The sequence below is a fragment of the Homo sapiens genome, chromosome 17 (assembly GCF_000001405.40).
Source record: "Homo sapiens chromosome 17, GRCh38.p14 Primary Assembly".
NCBI lineage: Eukaryota > Metazoa > Chordata > Mammalia > Primates > Hominidae > Homo > Homo sapiens.
Window position 1 is genome coordinate 8,722,591 of NC_000017.11, and position 22,271 is coordinate 8,744,861.

A 22,271-nucleotide genomic window follows, 5' to 3' on the forward strand; every position below is an offset into this window, starting at 1 on the left:
GCCTCCCAAAGTGCTGGGATTACAGGCGTGAAGCACCGTGCCCGGCTGCCAGGCTGATCTTCCTTTGTACTACTTTGCCATTAATCCCTGAAATAGAAATGATCCTGATGTATCTCAAAATCCAAACAGTCTGGCAGTTCCTCAAAAGGTTAAACATAGAATAACCATAGGACCAATCGATTCCACTCCTAGGTGTTTACACAAGAGAAATGAAAACCTATGTTCACACAAAAACTTGTATAAGAATGTTCGTAGCAGCTTTATTCACCAAAAGCAGAAAGCAGAAACTACACAAATGTCCATCCACTGATTATTGGATCAACAAAATATGCTACCATATATCCATACAATGGAATAGTATTCAGCCCTAAAAAGAAGTGATATACTGATACATGTTGTATCACGCATGAACCTCGAAAACATTATGCTAAGTGAAAACATGCTAAGCTAAACATAAAAGATCATAGATTGTATGACCCCGTTCATGTGAAATATCTAGAACAGGCAAAGGCATAGAAATAGAAGGTAGATGAATGGGGCTGGGGGGTTGGGAGGAAATGAGATTAACTATTGGGTCTACTAACGGAGCTTTTTAGGGGGTGAAGAAAATGTTCTAAAAATGTGTTGAGAGTTGAACAATTCTGTAAATATGCTAAAAACCGTGGACTGTACACTTTGAATGAATTATACAATATGCAAATTATATATCAATAAAGCTGTTAATTATTATTGTTATTGTTTTTTTGAGACAGAGTTTCGCACTGTTGCCCAGGCTGGAGTGCAGTGACATGATCTCGGCTCACTGCAACCTCCACCTCCCAGGTTCAAGCGATTCTCCTGCCTCAGCCTCCCGAGTAGCTGGGGCTACAGGCACCCGCCACCACACCCGGCTAATTTTTTGTATTTTTAGTAGAGACAGGGTTTCACCGTGTTAGCCAGGATGGTCTCTATCTCCTGACCTCGTGATCCGCCCGCCTCGGCCTCCCAAAGTGCTGGGATTACAGGCATGAGCCACCGCGCCCGGCCTGTTAATTATTTTAAAAAGCAGTAATTTCTAACCTTATTGGGTTAAGATTTCTGGGAGAATTGGAAAGCTGTAGAGTTTCTCTTGATCCACCTCCATCCTCACCCGCCTCAGCCATGAAAAATCACATATGCTTATATATAAAAGTTTCATAAAAAATTAGGTGATTCCCAGTCTGAAGCCCATTTATTGACTCCCTAGACATCTATAATCCCCATAGAAACCTGTGTTGATAAAAACTATCACTAGTAACTGTTAGCTCAGGTGCACATCTGAAAGAATTTTTTTTTTTTTTTTGAGACAGGGTCTTGCCCTGTTACCCAGGTTGGAGTGCAGTGGCGTGATCACAGCTCACTACAGCCTCAACCTCCCAGGATCAAGCGATCCTTTTGAGTGGGTGGGACTACAGGCAAGAGCCACAGTGCCCTGCTAATTTTTAAATAGTTTTTGTAAAGACAGGGTCTTGCTATGTTGCCCAGGCTAGTCTTGAACTCCTGGGTTCAAGCCATCCACCCACCTTGGCCTCTAGAACTGCTGGGATTACCGGCAGGAGCCACCATGCCCAGCCTAAAATATTTTTTTTTCCCATCCTTGTCATAGTCACTCTTCGCCCCCTCCTCTTCTTTCTTCAGAAGCTGTTTTGACATCCTTTCTCCATCAGTGTGGTAGGAAGAGTTTTAAGACAGTTCCCATGACCTTCGCCTTCCGGTATTGGGGCAAAAGGAGGAGATTATCTGGGTGAGTCTAATTTAATTGCAGGAGCCCTCTGAAAGCAGATAATTTCTCTAGCTGGTATTGGAAGAGAGTCAGATTCAAAGCCTGACAGGGACTCCACATGCTGTTGCTGGCTTTGAAGATGGAAGAGGCTGTGCAATGAGGAATGCAGTTGGCCTCTAAGAGCAGAGGGGCCCCTAGCTGACAGCCAACAAGGAAATGAGGACCTTAGCCCTAGAGCTTCAGGAATTGGATTATGTCAGCAACCTGAAGGAGCTTGGAAGTGGATTCCTCCCCTGAGCCTCCAGGTGACGGCCCAGCCATTGCACAACATGGTTGCAGCCTCATGACACGCTGAGCAGAGCCAAGCCAGCCCATGCGGACTCTGAGCTGCTACCGTGAGGTAACATGTGAGTGTTGGTTCAGGACCCCCAGTTTGCAGTAATTTGTTATGCAGACTAGAAAACTAACACAATCAGCCTCGCGTCGCTGTGCAGCTGGCTGTCTTTCTGTTGGATGTTTCTAGAGCCACCTCTTTTCCTCATAAGATTCCTAAAATGGTTATTTGTCCCCCCCTCTACCCCGAGGGTGACATCATACTCCGGTTGCCTCCGAGCCTGGCTCATCATTCCGCACTCCATGGCCTACACTGGGAGCCTCTTCCTGGTGTTTCAAAGGTGAAAGCTAAGGGGAACCTCAGGCCATTGCAGGTGAGGAAGCTGCACTGGGCTGGTGTCACAGCTCTCAGCAGCTCTGATCTCCCAAGAGAAGAAGTTTGGCCTGAGACAGGGGTCTCGTGGGACTCCGCTTGGCCTCAGCACCCTGCTATGCACATGGAAGGCTTCCAGTAAACATTGCTGGGACCGAAAGTCCAGGAGCATAGGAGCTCACTCAGATGCCCAAGTGATCAACCCTAAGATGGCTTGAAAGGAGAAGCACAAGGTTCTAGAGCCCTTCCAGCTGACCGAAAGCCTTGTCCGTAATATGTGGGACCCTGGTCTGGAAGCTAGGGAAAGGGCTTTGAGGGTAAAACCTTGCGAGGAGGGGGGCTGATCCCAAGGGCTAGTAGCTGATCTCACAGAAGCAGAGGCTCTTCAGCTACTCCAGGGAGACCGAGATCACCTGGAAGGGTGCTCAAAGCTTGGTTTTAATCCCATCTTTAGCAGCAGTTTGGAGGTTGTGTATATGGCAAGGCGTTGTGACAGACATGCAGCTGTCTGCCCACCTGCCTGCTTGCAGGCTCAGCTCTTAGTCCCCCAAACCCCTCCAACCCCCTCTTCTGTCCTTCCCCTACTCATCATTCCGCACTCCATGGCCTACACTGGGAGCCTCTTCCTGGTGTTTCAAAGGTGAAAGCTAAGGGGAACCTCAGGCCATTGCTCACGGGTTTGGAGGGGAACCGAGTGCTCTACACTGAGAGTGAGCTCCTGAAGGGCTTCCTTCCTCTTCCCTCCCTTTATCCATAAAACACCCAGAGCCCTACTTCCTGCCTTTGCTGATGAGAACCATTCATTTCTGGAACAAATCAGTTATTTCTGCTCTCGTGAGTTAGTGTCTTTTCTTGCTGGGAAAAACTCCAGTTAGGCCCTTACCTTCATCTTCTTGTTCTTGGAGCGTGATCTCATGCATCTGAGAGTTGGAATCCCTCTTGACCGGGTTGTCTTGGCTTCTTTATGTGGCTATAGGGCCCCGGGTAGCCATGCAGAAGGCCTGAGATGGGGCTGGGGTGGGGTAGGGAAGGAGCGAGGGCCTGTCTGTGACTGCCATTACCCTCCCGATGGGGAGACCCCGTCACTCCGGCGCCTGGGAATCCCTGCACCATTTGGATTTGTTCTCCCTGTGTCTGTGGGCTTGAGTAGGTTTGCGGATTTGTGGCTTCTCTTGTACTCAAGAAATCTGCCTAGACCCACAGAATTTCTTCTGCCCCAGGGCTGGACCACCCTTTTTAAGCATGAAATATGCAACAATATCAGAGTGAGTTATACACATACATAATATGCACATACTAGTTATACATCTGCAGTATCGGGGTGAGTGTATGCACACTTAACAGCATGCACATGCAGAGTTACACACAGGCAATATCAGCGTAAGTTATACACACGTGTAAACACGTGTGTCTCAGGATAAGCTTATGTGTGATCACAGGAGTTCTGAGTGTGACCCTGAGGAGTCCCTGTTTCAGTCAAGCCCTGGAAACTTGGTGGCGCAGGGTGGTGAAGCCGAGGAGGGAGTGCAGAGGAAGGAGGCAGAGGGAGTGCCTTCAGCTTCTCGCACAGGGCCTTGGGTGGTGCTGTAGGGGTGGTGCTGAGGGGGCCTTGCACACTCCAAGAGGAAGTGTGTTCAGGCCGAACAGCCTGGGCTTCTCAAACACCACCTTACAGCGACAGCAGAAGACGGGGCTGTGGGGGGAAGTGTGTATATTGGGGAGTTGGGGGAACTGCCTGTTCTGCGCCTTCTCCCACCTCCCAGGACCCAGACCAGGAGGCTGAACGTGGAGAAGTTATTTCAGCAGCATATCCTTCACCCACGGCCGTTTCTGGAGATCCCCAACCCCTCCATGCCCCTCTGAGCACCCCCTTAGCACTCGCTGTCCTGGGTGTGTGAGGTGACCTCTGCCCTCCATCCACTAGAGACGCCTGTTTGGCCAGGGCCAGCCGGCAGGACTGCAGCCTCCAGCATCCGTTCCTCGCTTCTGAAGGCAGATTTGCCTTGGTTTCGTCACCTGTGAAATGGAGATGATGATAGCGTGGAGGCTTCGGGATAAGTCAGCATGCCTAGGCAGAATTGTATTCTCAGAATTCCTTTTCTTGGGTGTGTCCTGTTAGTGTGGGTCACAGAAAGCTTCCCGTAGGGGATTTGGGGGCGGACTCACTCTGATATTGTTGCATTTTTCAGGCTTAAAGAGGGGCCCAGCCCTGGGGCAGAAGAAATTCTGTGGGTCTAGGCAGATTTCTTGAGTACAAGAGAAGCCACAAATCCACAAACTTACTCAATGCCTGCTGACTGGCGGCATTGGTGTGAGGCGGTGGCCAGGCCTGCATCTGCCCGCCCTCCCCTGGAACCTCCTTCAGTCTCCTGCCCCTGGGCCAGGCGTATGTGTTCATTTCCAGGACGAAGGATCCTGGCTTTGGCAGGACGCCCACACCACCAATTTCAGAAGCAACAAGAACTGACGTGGGTTTCTGTCTGCCTGTCTGTCCTCGGGTCTCCAGCCTGTGCTATGGATTCTGACTTGTCCTTGATCTGCCCCACTTTACCTCCATGCTTCCTTCCCAACCATCTCCCCTGCGAACTTCAAGCCTCAGCATCAGATGGGAAGACAGCTGCTTTATAGACACTGCTTACCCAGTGCCCACAACTGCCTACAGTCAAATCCCTGAAACAAAGCCCTTCACATATACCAGAAGAATCTCTCTCTACCATCTATCTATCTATCTATGTATTTATCTACCTGTGTATCTATCTATGTATCTATGTATCTATTATCTATCTATCTATCTCTACTATCTATTGTCTATCTCCTATCTATCTACCATGTATCTTCTATTTACTATTTATCATCTATCTGTTGATCTATTGATCTGTATCTATCATCTATCTACTATGTATTGTCTATCTCCGATCTATCTACATATTATCTATCTTCTATTTGCTATTTATCTATCATCTAATTTATCATCTATCTTCTATATCTATGTATCTATCATCTATCTGCTATTATCTCCTATCTTATCTACCTACCATCTATCTTCTATTTACTATTTATCTATCCCATCCATCCATCTATCCACCCATCCACCCATCCACCCATCCACCCACCCACCCATCCATCCATCCATCTCTATCTATCTATCTATCTATCTATCAATCTACTTACTTCTCTTGCTAAACGCTGACCCAGGTAGACACGTATTGCTTCTTGAGGTAGGAAATGAGTGGAGCCCAGGTGCTTGAAAGTGTTTGGTCACTGCAGGGCAGTGGTTCTTCAACTTGAGCACGCATCAGAATCATGTGGAGGGCTTCTTAAAACCCAGAGTGCTGGGTCCCACCCCTGGAGTTTCTGATTCTCAGGTCTGGAGTGGGGCCTGAGAATTTAACTGGTAAAGTTGCCAGGTGATGCTGACGCTGCTGGTCCGGGGACCACGCCTGAGAATGACTGCTGTAAGGTGTTGTATGTGAAGGTGAGGGGTTACTGCGGCCACGCAGCGATCCTGGCAGGGCAGCTGCAGCAGTGCCTTCCCTGAGACAACAGGAATCCGGGCAGTCTGAGGGCCCTCTAGGATCACAGGGCCAGGGAGGAGACACGGAGCCTTGTTAAGTCTGCTCCTCAGCCTGCTTTGGGGACAAAAGCACAGGGCCTCTGCTTTCTGGGAGGCAGACTGACGAGGGGGAGAGACCAGGCTCAGGAAGAGCAGACCCAGGGGTGAATCCTGACCCTGTCGTCCTGTAGCCAGGGTTCCCAGGCAAGCATCCTGCTCTGTGAGTCAGGATAATGATGCCTCACTGGGTTTTCAAAAGGCGGATACAAATGAAGTCCCTGTTGAATACATGTTACTTCCCCACGGCTCTCTGACTTGGCTTTTGCTATTGATTTAAAAATGTGCAATTGAGTTTTTGAACCTAAGTTTGAGATTTTACATTGACCTCAATTGAGTTGAGTTTGGCTGGTTTTAATCCATCATCCCAGCCTGCTGAGGTGCTCCTGAGCCTTGAGCTTGTCATTTGGCACATTAGTGATCCCTCCCTAGTTACTGGTGGCCTGCCCAGTAACTAGGGCAGTAACTAGGGCTGTTCCTTCCTTAGCGTTGCTGACACTGGCTTGCATGTTTTAGCGCACACAGTGGGGCAGGGGAGCAGAGCTTGCTCCTGAAGTCAGGGAAGAGTGCTCGACTCAGCACTTTTGCAGCTCTGACCTGGGAAGCTGCCTTCGTAGTTTTAAGTGGGTCTTTGCACCCAAATTAGAAACACCTCATGCTTCTAATCCAAGCACTTTGGGAGGCCAAGGTGGGTGGATCACCTGAGGTTAGGAGTTCGAGACCAGGCTGACCAACATGGTGAAACCTTGTCTCTACTAAAAATACAAAATTAGCCCGGCATGGTGGCGGGCGCCTGTAATCCCAGTTACTCGGGAGGCTGAGGCAGGAGAATCGCTTAAACCCAGGAGGCAGGGGTTGCAGTGAGTCGAGATCGCGCCTTGCACTTCAGCCTGGGCAACTCCATCTCAAAAATAAAATAAAATAAAATAAATAAAAATAAAATAAAATAAAATATAAAATATAAAATTATAAAATATAAAATAAAATATAAAATATAAAATATAAAAAAATAAAATAAAATAAAATAATATAATATAAAATATAAAATAAAATATAAAAGTTTGAAGTGGTGGATGAGAGAAGAGTCCTCTGTACTGACCCTACTGGTTTGTTGCCCACCTGAACACTGACTGTGTGTGAGCCCAAAGGTGAGGGGACACCAGACCTAAGATGTGGTTTCTAGTTCCCAGGCAGCCTAGGTGACCAGCTTTGAGAGTGAGTGCTTGTTGGGGGGGTCCCCCGTCACTGCACTCTTCCCCATGAATAAACTACCAAAGGGCTAGAGAGAACTTGAGAACAAACTTCATATAACATTCACTGTTTTCAGGGATAGAGTGAGGCCCACGGGGGAAAATAAGCAGGTGTCCCTCAGCAGGAAGGCACAGCAGGCATCGGTCCCGAGCTGGACTGACTGGACCGCAGGCTCACGACTTCTTCTTTCACGATCTCTGTCTCAGGACATTCTGGAACAAGGCTGCCTCCTTAAATCCGGACTCGCTGTTGTTCCTTCTTTTTCACCTCTGCCCAGATGTCCGACCGGTCTTGGATAAATTGCTGGATCTAGAAAGGCAAGGAGCCCAGCGTTAACTCCGCCCCCCAGAGGCCTCCCCTGTCCCAAGATGGAGCATCCCAGACATTCACTTGTAAAGAATTCATCATTGCTTTCCTGTGACTGACTTCTTTTTAAATTTTTATTTATTTATTTTTTTGATACAAGAGTCTTGCTCTGTCACCCAGGGTGGAGTGCAGTGGCACGATCTAGGCTCACTGCAACCTCCGCTTCCTGGGTTTAAGCAATTCTCGTGTCTCAGCCTCCTGAGTGGCTGGGATTACAGGTACTTGTGACCATGCCCAGCTAATTTTTGTGTTTTTAGTAGAGATGGGGTTTCACCATGTTGGCCAGGCTGGTCTTGAACTACTGACCTCAAGTGATCCACCCGCCTCAGCCTCCCAAAAGGCTGGGATTACAGGCATGAGACACTGCACCCAACCATGACTGACTTCTTGAGGAGGCCACTTTCTCTCATTTGACAATGTTTTGAGGTGAAATTGAGTGTTGGGTGTAGCCGATGAGAAGCAACAAAACAGGGATGGAGTTGGGAACTCCTGAAGGCAGACCCTGGTGATGTATGAAGTCCAGGCTGAGAGTCAAGCAGGAGGGATAAGAAAGAAAGGGTCACAAGCAGGCTGGTGGATGAAAAGGATTTAGCAGGCAGGGTTCCGTCAGCATGGGCAGACCGCCTTCCACAACTTCACCGCCCTCAAGGTGGTCGTGCATTCGAAACCCAGAGCTGATGCTCATCATGATAACCTTGAGTCATGAAAAGGAATGTAAATTCTGTTCACCGCCTTCTGTTTTGTAAAGAGCACGCAGTCAGCATGACACGGAAGTCATGCTCCAGAAGTCAGATGACCTAGCTGGGCCCCCGTCGCAGGTCTGGGGCAATCACTCCATCTTTCTGGAACTCAGTTCTTCATCTTTAATAAGGAGAGAGGGAGAAAAGATTGGCCCAGACAGCCTCTAAGATATCAGTTCTAATGCAAACCAAAACCACAGTGAGATACCATCTCACACCAGAATGGCTACTATTAAAAAGTCAAAAAGTTACAGATGCTGCTGAGGTTGTGGAGAAAAGGGAACGTTCATACACCGTTGGTGGAAGTGCAAATTAGTTCAACCATTGTGGAAGGCAGTATGGTGATTCCTCAAAGAATTAAAATAGAACTACCATTCAACCCAGCAGTCCTATTACTTGTTATATACCCAAAGGAATATAAATCGTTCTATCATAAACACACATGCATGGGGATGTTTACTGAAGCACTATCCACAATAGCAAAGAGAATCAACCTAAATGCCCATCAATGGTAGACTGGATAAAGAAAATGTGGTACTTATACACCACGGAATACTATGTAGCCATAAAAAAGAATGAGATCACGTCCTTTGCAGGCACATGGATGGAGGTGGAGGTCACTATCCTTAGCAAACTAACGCAGGAACAGAAAACCAAATACTGAGTGTTCTCACTTATTAGTGGGAGCTAAATGATGAGAACACGTGGACACAAAGAGGGGAACAACACATACTGGGATCTGCTTGAGGGTGGAGAGTGGGAGGAGGGAGAGGATCAGAAAAAATGACTATTGGATACTCGGCTTAATACCTGAGTGATGAAATAACCTGTACAACGAACCCTTGTGACATGAGTTTACCTATATAACAAACCTGCTTGGCTGGACGCGGTAGCTCACGCCTGTAATCCCAGCACTTTGGGAGGCCAAGGCGGGTGGATCACGAGGTCAGGAGATCGAGACCATCCTGACTAACACAGTGAAACCCCATCTCTACTAAAAATACAAAAAATTAAGGCCGGGCGCGGTGGCTCAAGCCTGTAATCCCAGCACTTTGGGAGGCCGAGGCGGGCGGATCACGAGGTCAGGAGATCGAGACCACCCTGGCTAACACGGTGAAACCCCGTCTCTACTAAAAATACAAAAATTAGCCAGGCGTAGTGGCGGGCGCCTGTAGTCCCAGCTACTCGGGAGGCTGAGGCAGGAGAATGGCGTGAACCTGGGAGGCGGAGCTTGCAGTGAGCCGAGATCACACCACTGCACTCCAGCCTGGGCGACAGAGTGAGACTCCGTCTCAAAAAAAAAAAAAAAAAAAAAAAAACCTGCTCGTGTACTCCTGAACCTAAAATTAAAAAAATAAAAAAAGGATTTCAGTTCTAAAACTTCTCCTTTTCAAGGCTGTCTCTGGAGATGGAACTACACAGACTTTGTCCAAAGCTCTCAACAACTGTCAGCTGCTGATACTGTTACCATTACCAATATCATTCCCATTTTGCAAATGAGAAAACAGAGAGTCAATGAATTAAAGCAGCTTTCCCAAGATGACAGAGAAGACAGGTCAGCGTTTCCTGAGCTATGTTCTCATAATAAGTGGTCACATGCCCCAAAGGAGTCCTGTGGTCAAGTCAGTTTTAGAAACGCTGTCTGCTGGGAGCATCTCAGGGCATAGAACTATAGCAAAGACTCCAAGTCCTGTTTGTTTTTTTAATCTCATCTTCGTTTAATTTAGAGTTTCTAAATGTATTAGTCTATGGAGTCCTTTTATTCCCCCTAGGAAACAATAGCTCAGGAGATTCAGTCTGGAAAGTGCTTGTTCAGATAGTTTGGCTTTTCTTCAGGGATAATGCCAAACCTTCCATGACACACTCGAAGGAATTCAAATTGACTTGGCCTTCTGCAGAATCGCTTTTCCTAAGCTGTCCTGTGTACCACGTTCCTTGTTCTCTATAAGCAGCTGCCTTACAAAGCCAGTGCCTGCATTGGTTGCAGGGATGCTGTTGAGAACATTATTCATACAGTGTCAATGAAGCCTCATCGAGAAATTTCAGTGAGAACTAAGTGCTGGGAAAAGGCACATTGTCTCGGAGGAAACCTTATTTTTTCTTATTCTAGTATAAGAGCTACAGGTGGCTTTTCATTCAGGTTACCAGCAAGCTCAGAAACAATTACTGCCCCTGTCTAAGACCCTTAAGAACCAAGGGCAGTCTGTATTTCTCTCCATCCTTGACCTCTGATTTCAACTTGTACTTTCCCAGGTCCTTAAGTTTAAATCTGTAGGCGACTCGGTCGTGTATTTCCGTGAGTAGGTTCATCTCCTACGGGAATGAAGTGAGATATTTTCTAATAACTTTTGGGCAATCTGAAGTTCTCCTGTAGAGGTGAATCCAAGTTGAGAGGGATTCAGAAACTCAAAATTTGGAGTGGATGGACTAGAAGCCATGGTCTCAGCAGGAGATGTGCCTGTGGGAGTGAGCTGCTGGAGGGCAGCATCTCCCAGTGAATCTTGAGATGAAGTCTTGCTCTTGTTGCCCAGGCTGGAGTGCAATGGCACGATCTTGGCTCACTACAACCTCCGCCTCCCAGGTTCAAACGATTCTCCCGCCTCAGCCTCCCGAGTAGCTGGGATTACAGGTGCCTGCCACCATGCCCGGCTAATTTTTGCATTTTTAGTAGAGATGGGGTTTCACCATGTTGGCCAGGCTGGTCTCAAACTCCTGACCTCATGATCCACCCGCCTCAGCCTCCAAAAGTGCTGGGATTACAGGTGTGAGCCACTGTGCTGGGCCCTCCCACTGCATCTTTCTTTACAACAGCTAAGGGCAAGGGCCTGAGGACCTCCGGGAGGCTGAGGGGAGGGGGCCCGAGGATTTCTGGAGTCTCTGAGACCCTATTGTGGGTCATAGGGGTTTTTGAGGCCAAAACTCTTTTTACGATAATATTAAAATGTTATTTGCCTTTTTTTCGCTCTTATTCTCTCATGAGCACACAGTGGCATTTCCCAGAGAGGAGTTTCCATGACATATGCTGTCACAACAGAATGAACGCAGGAGTGGACATGAGCACCGGCCTGTCCTCTGTTAAACTAGACATTAAAGGGATCTGCAAGTGCGTCAAACAATGCCACTCTTCTCACAAAACAGTTTTGAAACTTTTTTCCATAAAAAATGCTATTTCTGTTAACATACTTTTTATCATTATTTAAAAATGAATGAATTAAACAAATGTTTTAAAATTTTCTGTTTTAATTTCTATTGTGGCAATTATAGATACAACCATATAAAGAAAAGCTCTCTGGGAATCCTCAATAAACTCTAGGAGTGTAAAGGTGAAATGTTGAGAATTGCTACTTCCAGAACACACTTGCTTACAAACGCCCTCCTTTGGGCTATAAAATAATTCTGTTCAAACAGGCTTTAAAATGTAGGCTAATTATTTGTTTTAGGGAACTCCTTTTTCCTAGCTGTGTATATTTCATGAATTTCACTTTTTTTTTTTTTTTGGAAAAGTAGGGAAAGTGCCTCTAAGTCAATTGCTGTTTTGTTTTTTGTTTGTTTGTTTTTTTGAGGCTGGCCTGGAACTCCCAACCTCAGGTGATCCACCCACCTAGGCCTCCCAAAGTGCTGGGATTACAGGCATGAGCCACCGTGCCTGGCCCCAATTTCTCTTTTTAACGAAGTGTGGGCCTCAAGCTCAAGCCTTCAGCAAGCCACAGTATCTCACTAGAATTTAATGAGGCTGTTTTGCACAACTAATGGATTCAGTAGTGGGTCCCTGCTACTGCTCTGTAGACTGGGGCTAAAAGGGTTTCGGTGCTAATGCAATGGTTCTCAAAGTATGGAACCCGAACCAGCAGCGTCACTTGGGAACTTGCTGAAAATGTAAATTCATGAGTTCTCATCTCAGATCCACTGAGTCAGAGACTCTGCGGGTGGGGCCCAGTAATACTCCTCACCCTCCCAGGTGATCCTGATGTTGTTAAATTTTGAGAGTCCCTGCTCTGCTTCTCTGTCAGGTTCATTCTTCCACCCAACCAACTGGCAACCTCCTCGGCCCAGCCGACCCCACGGGCCCAGTGCCTGTCCCCTCCTCCTACCATGTCCAGCTGCTTGTGGGTGTCCTCCAGTGCCACCTCAGTCACCTCCTTCAGGTGCTTGCTCACGATCTGGAAGAGGTTCAGCGTGGCCATCTTAATGGTGCCAAGCAGGAGGGTCTTCTTGGCTGCGGTGTTCTGGATGTGCGCCCAGCGAGATTCCTGGAGAGTGGATAAGGACGGGGCATGAGCACAGCATGTGGTGTGTGTGTGTTTGTGTGTATGTGTGTGTGTGTATGCTCAGGGCCCGCACTCACCCAGTGCCTGGGAGCCCCCGGCCCGCCCCGGGCCCCTCACCCAGAAGATGACATTGCTGCGGGCACGGTCAAAGCGCATCTGCAGCCTTGCCAGCTCATTGTTTTGCTGCAGGATCTCATCATCCTTTTCCTCCATGTAGCGCGCCAGCCGGGCCTTGGCGCGCTCAATCTTCTCCTGGCCTTCCTGCGCAGACTGCATGAGGTCGTGGCGCATGCTCACCAGCGTCTTGTAGCGTGCAATCACCTCATGGATCTCCTCGAACTGTGGTCAGGGGCTCAGGTCAATGCACAGCCAGCCCCTGGGGCCTGAGGGAGCCACCCAGTCCTGCCAACCTCCAGCCTGGATGCCTGGACACCTGGACACCTGGGCAGGCAGGCCCTTGGCCAGGGTCACGGCCAGAGGCTGTGAGGGACACTGGGGTTCCGCTGCCTGCTTCTCCTGGGTTTGTACGGGCCACGGTCCATTTGTTGGGCAGGGGGATGCACAACTGGGCTAGGGATTTTCGACTTTAACTGCATGTGAGAATCACCTGTAGGGGCTTTAAAAAGGACACCTGCCAGTCTCCACCCCCAGAGATTCAGATGAATAAACAAGTCTTCTGTGGTCTCTGGCATCTGAATTTTGCAAAAGGTCCCCTGGTGGCTCTAGGCACAGCCAGGGTTGATAATCGCTGATGGAAGGCATTTTGCAATGTCTTCCAAGGCAAGAATTTCCTATTCAACAAGATTGTACCAGGAACCACTTACAAGCCAGGAGCTATGCTAAATGCTAGGGAAATAGCAGGAGTTAGGAAAACCAGATTCTGCTCTTAGGAAGCTTACAGCTTGGGGGGTGGCATGGAGGGAGGACAGACAGACAAGTAAACAGTCAGTTACAACAGCAAGATAAGCCCTATCTATGACTGGGGGATAGGGCTGGAGGGGACTCTGGGAAAGCCTTCACGTTGGTGATCTCTGGTATTTGTTCATTTACTGAGGGAGAAGCAGGGATAGAGAGGGTGCTGGTGGGGCAGGTGGCCTGCCAGACTCAGCTCACCTCCCCCAGCCTGGTCCAGAACCATGCCACTCTGGCCCTAACCCTCAGGTCCCACTCAGTGGAACAGAAGCCATGAAACCCACGCTCTTTAGAAGGCAGCATGAACACCAGTTCTGTGATACCAAGTTGCCTTCCTAGGGGCTTATCAAAGCATGCCTTTCAGCCGCCCAGGGGAAACTTCCCGAGCACCTTCTCCATCTCGTGACATCTCCAGTGATGGATGCGTGTCCTGGGAACTGCCCTGCTGGCCTTTCCCCAAATATGCCTCTTTGGGGAAGGGCCACCCAACCCAGCACGGAAAGAGGTAGGAACAGCCAGAAAAGGTTTCATGGGAGAAAGTGTGGCTGAAATGAGATGAGAGGTATATAAATAGAAGATAGCTAGCAAAAGCAGGTGTAGGGAGGTGAGGCAGTGCTACAGGTGAAGGAGACAGCCTGGGCAAAGATGAATGGAATAGGGGGTTGTATGTTCAGGATGCTGAAGGTAGCCTGAGTTCAAGATGGGGAGGGAGAGACTGAGAAGAAGAAGAAAGGAAGAAGAAAGCAGAAGAAGAAAGAAAGAGGGAAGGAGGAAGGAAGAAGAAGAAGAAGAAAGAGAGAGAGGGAGGGAGGGAGAAAGGAAGGAAAAGAAAAAAAGAAAAGAAGAGGGAGGGAGGAAGGAAGGGAAAGAAAAAAGAAAAGAAAAAGGAAAGAAAGAAAAAGAAAAAAAGAAAAGCAAGCAAGCAAGCGAGCTCAGTAAACCTTGGGAAGGAGTGTGGACTTTATCCATTGAAGGATTTTAAGAAACAGACAATTCACGTGTGCATTTCTGAAAGTTCATCTGGCACACAGTGCAACAGTGTACCACAGTTCAAATAAATGGACCACATCAGAGCTACTAGGAACACACCTCTAAACTTAATGCTGATGTCAAAAGGATTTAGGTGCCAAATCGAAGAGCCACCCACTGCCCAAAGATGAGATGATTTGAACATTAGTAAGAATAAGTGCAAAGGATTAAAACATATCAAATATGTTAAAAATCCATCAGTTCACAATGATACTAGAAACATTACAGGTCAGTGCTAGAGAACAAATTCATTATTCTGAAAACTAAATAAAGCATTTAACAAACTTTCTCTGCGAGACCCACATAGTAATCAAATGGTGGATGAAGGAAAGGATCTCTTTATGAAGTCCTTTTCTTTATGGTAGTATTCTAGCAAATAAATGAGGAAGGGTTGCTAGTGAGTGTCTTCCCCCGACCAGTGAGGAAACCAATATTCTGACTTCTATCAATAAAGATTAATTTTACCTGTTTTTAAACACATCAATGGAATCATACGATATAACCTCTTTTGTGTCTGGCTTAAGAAGCATACCAACTAAGGGCAGTGTGAGGACCTTATATGGACTCTCATTGGAACAAACCAACTGTACAAAAAGCATCCGTGCAATAATTTGTCTTAAAAGACAGGGTCTCACTCTATTGTTCAGGCTGGACTACAGTGGCATAAACACAGCTCACTGCAGCCCTGACCTCCTGGGCTCACGCAGTCCTCCTGCCTCAGCCTCCCAAGTAGATGGGACCACATGTGTGTGCCACCATTCCTGACTGATTTTTATTTTTTAATTTTTTGCAGATTTGGGGGGGGTCTCACTTTGTTGCCCAGGCTGGTCTTGAACTCCTGGGCTCAAGTGATCCTCCCACCTCAGCCTCCCAAAGCACTGAGATTACAGGCATGAGCCACCACGCTTGACCCATTTTGTGCAATAAATGATACTGATATTTGATGTTAAGGAATTACTATCAATTGTATAGTAGGTGTGACAATGGTGTAGTTATTTTAAAAAGAGCTCTCATCTCTTAGAGATACATACTGCAGAGAGACGCAAATGGATGAAAATATATTGTTTGCTTCAAAATGGCAGAGGTGGGAAAGTGTGGGGGATGTGACTATGAATTAATCATTATTAGAATCAGGTAATGAGCAACAGGTGTTCAATAGACTATTGTCTTTACTTTTGTGTATGCTTAAAAAATTCCGTATAAAAAGTTACAAAACATTAAATGTGACAAAATAATAAGCATGATTTGAGATTTTTTTTTTTTTTTTTTTGAGACGGAGTCTAGCTCTGTCACCCAGGCTGGAGTGCAATGGCATGATCTTGGCTCACTGCAACCTCTGCCTCCCGGGTTCAAGCAATTCTCCTGCCTCAGCCTCCGGAGTAGCTGAGATTACAGGCACCCGCCATCACGCCCAGCTAATTTTTGTATTTTTAGTAGAGACAGGGTTTCACCGTGTTGGCCAGGGTGGTCTCGAACTCCTGACCTCGTGATCTGCCCACCTCGGCCTCCCCAAAGTGCTGGGATTACAAGCGTGAGCCACCGCACCTGGCTATTTGAGAATTTTTGAAAGCAGAATACTCAAATAAAAAGTTACAAAACGTTAAATGTTACAAAATGTTACAAAATAATAAAAAGCATGACTTGAGAATTTTTAAAAGCAGGATACTCGTGATGTCTGAGGACAGGTGAAGAAACATAAGATTTGGAAGGACACAAAGGAGTTCATTTACTGGATTTCAATTATCGGTAGTGTTTGATTTAAGACAAAAGAACTGGGGGCAGATGGGGAAAATACGAAGATTTAGCAAAGCTGTGTGATGAGTACTTGGTTGCTGTTATGTGTGTCTCTATACTTTCCAGTATTCTTAAAGTATTTTGAACAAAATAAAGAAGAAAAAAGAGAAAGAGAGGGGGGCTGGGGGAATGCTGAACAGGCTGGCCAGGAACGACGCCAGAGTTGAACTCCAGACGAGGTACCACTGGTGGCCTGGATGAGGAAGGGGCAGGGGCTGGATTCCAGAAATACTTCCAAGGCAGAACAGACCAGATCTGCTGATTGATAGCTGTGGCACTGAGCAGGAGGGAGGAGCCAAGGAGGCCTGAGTTCTGGCGGGGCTGTGAGTGGGTGGTCCTGCCTTTCACCAGCACAGGTCGTCGCGCCAGCGGCAGGGCTGTCCTGGGGGTGGCAGGAAGCAGATGAGATGAGTGTGCATGGGATGAATTAAATATGGGGGTCTCAAGCTTAGGAGGGAGAGACAGGCCAATTTCCTCCATTCTAAGATATATATTTTCCCAACTCTGAATTCAAGACACATCTTACAATTTTTTTTTGGTTTGTTTGTTTTTGAGACGGAGTTTCGCTCTTGTCGCCCAGGCTGGAGTGCAATGGTGCAACCTCGGCTCACTGCAACCTCCGCCTCCTGGGTTCAAGCAATTCTCCTGCCTCAGCCTTCCGAGTAGCTGGGATTACAGGTGCTTGCCATCACGGCCAGCTAGTTTTTGTATTTTTAGTAGAGACGGGGTTTCACCATGTTGGCCACACTGGTGTTGAACTCCTGACCTCAGGTGATCCACCTACCTCGGCCTCCCAAAGTGCTGGGATTACAGGCGTGAGCCACCGTACCTGGCCACATCTTGTAATTCATCTGCAGTTTTAATCTGGTAGTCCCTCCTTACTTCCTGCCCCCCCAACAAACCCCAACTATGAAATGAACCACTGACCTTATAGTACGTAGCACCTTTGAGTGGAGGAAATAATGCAGAGGTGGGACTCATGCATGAGTAAATTAGGTTAGTGGTTTGATATGGAAATTGTGGGACCTTTAAACAGTTGTGCATCCTGTCGCCCCTTCCCTCAGAGGACATGGATCCACACCCCTGGAGGAGGTGCCTCCATCTGCCCTAGTGAGGGGATCTTCTGGCTGTTGGTCACATGGGGGAGGAGATAATGTGACATGGGTGGCATCCATGGGAGGCCCTGGACATTGCTAAGAAGAAAAGTGGAGGATCGCTCACGCCTGTAATTCCAGCACTTTGGGAGCCCAAGGCAGGCGGATCACGAGGTCAGGAGTTCGAGACCAGCCTGACCAACATGGTGAAACCCATCTCTACTAAAAATACAAAAATTAGCTGGGCGTGATGGCGGGTGCCTATAATCCCAGCTACTCGGGAGGCTGAGGCGGGAGAATCACTTGAAAACCGGAAGGTGGAGGTTGCAGTGAGCCGAGATCAAGCCACTGCACTCCAGGCTGGGCAACAAAAGTGAAACTCCGTCTCAAAAAAAAAAAAAAAAAAAAAAGTGGAGGATCTGAGACAGAGAACCTGGACCCACCACACAAGAAGGAGCTGGGAAGAGGCGCCCCCGCCGGAGGAGCCTGAGAAGGAGAGGTCAGAGGTAGGAGAGAGAGGGAGGTGCCACTGAGTTGAGGGCAGAGGGGGGTTTCCGGGAGGGGCATCGGCAGTGTCAGACGCTGCCCCCAAGAGGCGCGGTGGAACCAAGAAGTTCCCTGGGCTCCGGCTACAGGGACTGCAGGGAGAGCCCTCATCAATGGCACTGTGGGGCCCACTGAGGAGTGGCTAAAAGCAAAGGCTCTCCCCACTGACGAGCTGCGAGACTCTGAACAGGTGACTTAACCTCTCGGAGCCTCCATTTCCTTCTCTGTAAAAGGCTGATCAGCTTGGGTTCACCCTGGGGCTCACCAGCGAACTGAATGAAGTTACCCGTGTGAAGCACCAACCCCGGGGCCCAGCACATACAAAGCACCCTAGTTCTGCAGGAGGTTGGGTGTTTTTCCAACTCCTCTCCCTTCCTCTCCCCAATTTACTCTCCAGTAAACAGAAGACACTGAGAGGAGGGGATGCAGGGATAGAGGGAGGCCACGTGCTGACACACACCCACACACACACCCCTTTAGACAGACGCAGCCATGGACACACATGCAGACATAGACACGCAACTCATGCAAGATACATACACAGTTGTGGCTCACACAGACACACAAAGACACACCACTAGGCCCCACCCCTTGAGAAACTCATCCAGCCTCACCAGAGGCTTCTTTTAGCTGCTCCCCAGTGCCCCCCAGGGCTGGGTGCATCTCCTCGGAGCAGGGTGCCCATCCTGCAGAGCTCCTGGGGCCCAGAGGGTCCACAGTCCCCAGCCAGCTGAGCCTGAATTCCATCCCATGGCCCCAGGCCCCGGGGAAGAGAGGTGGGGCTGAGGAAGGTGCCAGGGCCGGCCCCCCTGCTCCTTGGACTCACCTCGGAGTTCTCCACCACCTTCTCTAGGTACTTGTTGAAGATGTAGTAGTCCTTCAGCTTGGCGCTCAGCCGCTGGTGCTCCAGCCGCAGCGCCACCATCTCCTGCTTGCGCTTGGTCAGCTCCTGCATGTGCTGGCACTTGAGTTCTCGCTCCTTGTTGGCTTTCTTCATGGCGCGGATCCGTTTCTGGTCGTTCTCCTGGGGCCCGGGGAGGTGGCGCTGGTCAGGAAGCCTCGCCCAGCCCTCCCGGGGCCCAGGCCTTCCTGGGGCTGGTGGTGCCCTCAGACCCCTCTGTCTGCACAAACCATCCTGGCAACAGGCAGAGATTGCTGGGCCACCCATGGGGCAGAAGAGGGGTGAAGGAAAAGGCTCTCCAGGGGTATTTGAAGCTGGCTGAAGAGATTTCTGTGGACTGAGGTGGGGGCTCAGGGGGCTGTGAGGACAGAGGTTTAATCCAAAGTCGAGAGGTGGCCCTGGGGCTGGAGGGGCAGACAGGAAATGGTTCTTTCCTGTGGGACTTGGGCTCTGGACTTCAGAGAGTGGACTGGGGAAGACCTACATTGCACTGGGCTCACGGTCTGGAAGAACTCAACCCGCCGAGAAGACTGAGAAAAGTCCAGAAGTGGGAGCAAGAACCCTCCTGACAAAGCTTCTGTGGTTTCTGTTCTTAGTGGTGGCCATTTTCCATGGAGCAGAAGGACCACTCCCGGACCAGAGCTGGGAGGCGAGAATTTTCTCCCAATTCAGTACTCGGTGCTTCCATTTTCCCAGCTGTGGAGATGGGAGGCAGGAGCCCCTCTCCCTTTCAGAAGCTGGGGCAACAGGGCTGGAGCTCCAGGAAGATGAGAGAGGAGATGTGCCTGGTGCCATAGGGCCTGGGGGGTAAGGCCACTGGGAGAGCATGCTCCTAGGAGCTCAGACTGGCATCCCGCTGAGGGAGGAGATGGAACAGGCAGTTCAATGCCCAGAGGACAGAACGAGGCTCAGTTACCGCAATCAGTCCAATCCTGCCTCTTCCTTCTGCAGAGCCCTCCCCTAAGATTAGGGGCAAGCCCACCCCTCGCCCTGTGTGGCTCCTTTCTCCCTTCAGGGGCTCCTGTGATTCCACATAGACAGGCGTATGTGGTGGTGGCACTTGGAGGCCACTGAGGAAGGTGCATGCAGGATCTGTATGCTGCCCTGTAAGCCCAGGACAGGACTGAGGGAGTCTAAACCAGTGACTTTCAAATCCACCTGGTCATCAGAACTGCCTGGGGAACTTTTTTAAAAATATACAAGCCTGGGCCCAACCTCAGACGTGCTGAAAGCAACAAGGGAAGCCCCTGGGGTCTGTATTTGTAGCAAACTCTCTGGGAATTGAAGCTACTGACCCTCTGAGAGCCATTTGGAGAATGCCTCACGCCCAAATCTCTTCTGCCCCAACCACTCCATAAGTGTTTCTCTGGCTGCTAAGAAGAACTGGACCTCTGGAGAATGTGCCCAGTCCAAGGACTTCCTGTCCCACACGGCTTAGGCACAGAGCAGGAAGGAAGGTGCTTAAGAGCGGGGCTTCTTTGTGGCCGACGGCAATCATTACCCACTCCCGGAGCTGGACCAGGCCCTTCAGGGCTGCGTAAGTGCTACCTGGAGTGGGTCTGGATAAATCTGGATTTTTAAGACGATTAAAGTGCTCCACTAAAGACTGAAGTGAGAGAGGATGTCTTGGAATGGACTCTGGTGCCTGGTCCTTCAACCATCCCCTGCCTGGACCTTCAGTGCAAGGACAAGGATGGAGGGGTGGGGTGGGTGGAGGGACTAAAACTCTGTCTCATTCATCACTGTATTTCCCAAGTGTTTAGTCCTAACTGTAGCACCTTCATTCATTCATCCATGCATTCATTTACTGAATAAACTGTATGTCCTAGGTACTGGAAAAGAAATAGGAAACAGCCATCTAGAGGGAGCAGAGACTGATAGGTAAATGGAAAATTACAAACAGAGACAGGTGGGGGACATAAAGGACGCCTAGGGACATGCCAGGCAATGTTGGAGCACTAAGGATGCTTTTTAACTCAGGGCGAGGAGTCAGCAGAAGCAAGGAGGAGGAGTGCAGTTTGCCCACCTGCGGACTATGGATCCCCTGGCCACTGCGGCCGCCCACACCCCTTCAAACCTGGATGAACTGCTCAGACTTCTGGATGTGAGCCTTCAGTTGGGCTTCCTTAACGCCCAGTTCCTCCCAGCGCAGGTTCAGGGTTTCCATTCTGCGCTGAAACATCTTTGGGGTGGGGGTGGGAGAGCAGAGAGGTCAGGAGGGCTCCTGACATGAGTACCAAGGAAGACCCCAGCATCCCTGCCCCAGAGGCTCCATCCCCAGGCCCAAGAGGGTCCATAGGAGCCTCCCACTTTCTACCCCATGCCTGGCCCAGAGCAGAGCATCCCTGGACAGTGGTACCCCCAAGACCCAGATCCTTTCTGTTCTCCCCAAAGAGACCAGATCACCATAGAGGACTCCTGGCTCTAGCCACCCCACTCAGACAATGGAGGGCTGTCCACAGGCTCTCCCAGAGCCCCAGCCCACCCCCTTCCTTTCCTGCCCCTCTGCACTCCATCCCTGAGTCCCCACCTTCTTCTTCTGCACCATAGTTTGATGCATGATTTCTGTCTCCTTTTTCTTCTCCAGTAGCCAGATGGATGGGGACTCCGACGCCCCCTCAACATTGGGGAGTTTCCTGTCCAAGATGTGAACGCGAGAGGGCTGTGTGTTCTGACATGGGGTAGGCTGGGGCTGGGAGTAACCCGTGGAGACAGATACCCATGGGGAAGCAGAGGGGCCTCTCTCCCTTTCCGAGGGAAAGGGCTGTTGTGTTGAGAAGCATAGAGGGCCATGCAGGAGTGAGCAGGGGGAGGGTGACGGGGTGGAGACCAGCGTGATGAGGTGGACTGGTGCCAAGGTTATTTGGGGCACTGGGTTACAGGAGAGGAGGGGACAGACGGTTGGAAGATGAGGTATGGGGTGGGTGTGAGTGGTCCCAGGCACAGAGGGGTGGGCAAGCCAGGCCTCAGACACTCACTGGAGCATCTGCAGCAGCCGCTCCCCATACTGCAGCCGGAAGTACTCGGCCAGGTCTTCCTCTTCCATGATGCCCAGACTCATGGTGGCAGTGACCTCACGGCCCAGGCAGCTGACTCTTCACAGTGAAATTGTGGGTAGCAGAGCCACAGGTGGCTCAGGGGTGGTGGCTGCACTCTTGTTTCTCCCTTCGGCCTACAGGGTCCCACAGATGATGGAGTTTGAGACTCCACAGAAGGTGGCTGGAGACAGGTTGGGCGGCTCAGGACGATGTGCTGGGGCAGTTATGGGAGATGTGGTTACCTAGCAACAGGCTGCCTGGTTCTGTGGCCGGCA

The 22,271-nt window shown here is 49.4% G+C and overlaps 1 protein-coding gene across 2 annotated transcripts, besides 1 other annotated feature; it reads right to left on the reverse strand.

Annotated features, from left to right (window-relative positions):
• Nucleotides 1–7,344: 7,344 nt before the first annotated feature.
• Nucleotides 7,345–22,246, reverse strand: CCDC42 (coiled-coil domain containing 42). Of its 2 annotated transcripts, NM_144681.3 has the most exons (7): nt 21,937–22,246; nt 21,489–21,594; nt 21,036–21,140; nt 18,884–19,081; nt 12,800–13,021; nt 12,506–12,664; nt 7,345–7,617 (listed from the first exon to the last, which is right to left on the reverse strand). In NM_144681.3, exons 1-7 carry the CDS (start codon nt 22,017–22,019, stop codon nt 7,540–7,542), a joined length of 951 nt encoding a protein of 316 aa, NP_653282.2. In that variant the 5' UTR covers nt 22,020–22,246; the 3' UTR covers nt 7,345–7,539. The 2 variants fall into 2 exon arrangements, with proteins under 2 accessions (NP_653282.2, NP_001151733.1); NM_001158261.2 differs by lacking the exon at nt 12,800–13,021.
• Nucleotides 16,242–16,742: an enhancer, noted in NCBI's record as "H3K4me1 hESC enhancer chr17:8642150-8642650 (GRCh37/hg19 assembly coordinates)". NCBI's record gives its function as "activates a minimal SCP1, AML or CMV promoter by ChIP-STARR-seq in primed H9 embryonic stem cells {active_cell/tissue: H9 hESC(primed)}" and the evidence as "EXISTENCE:reporter gene assay evidence [ECO:0000049][PMID:30033119]".
• Nucleotides 22,247–22,271: the final 25 nt, after the last annotated feature.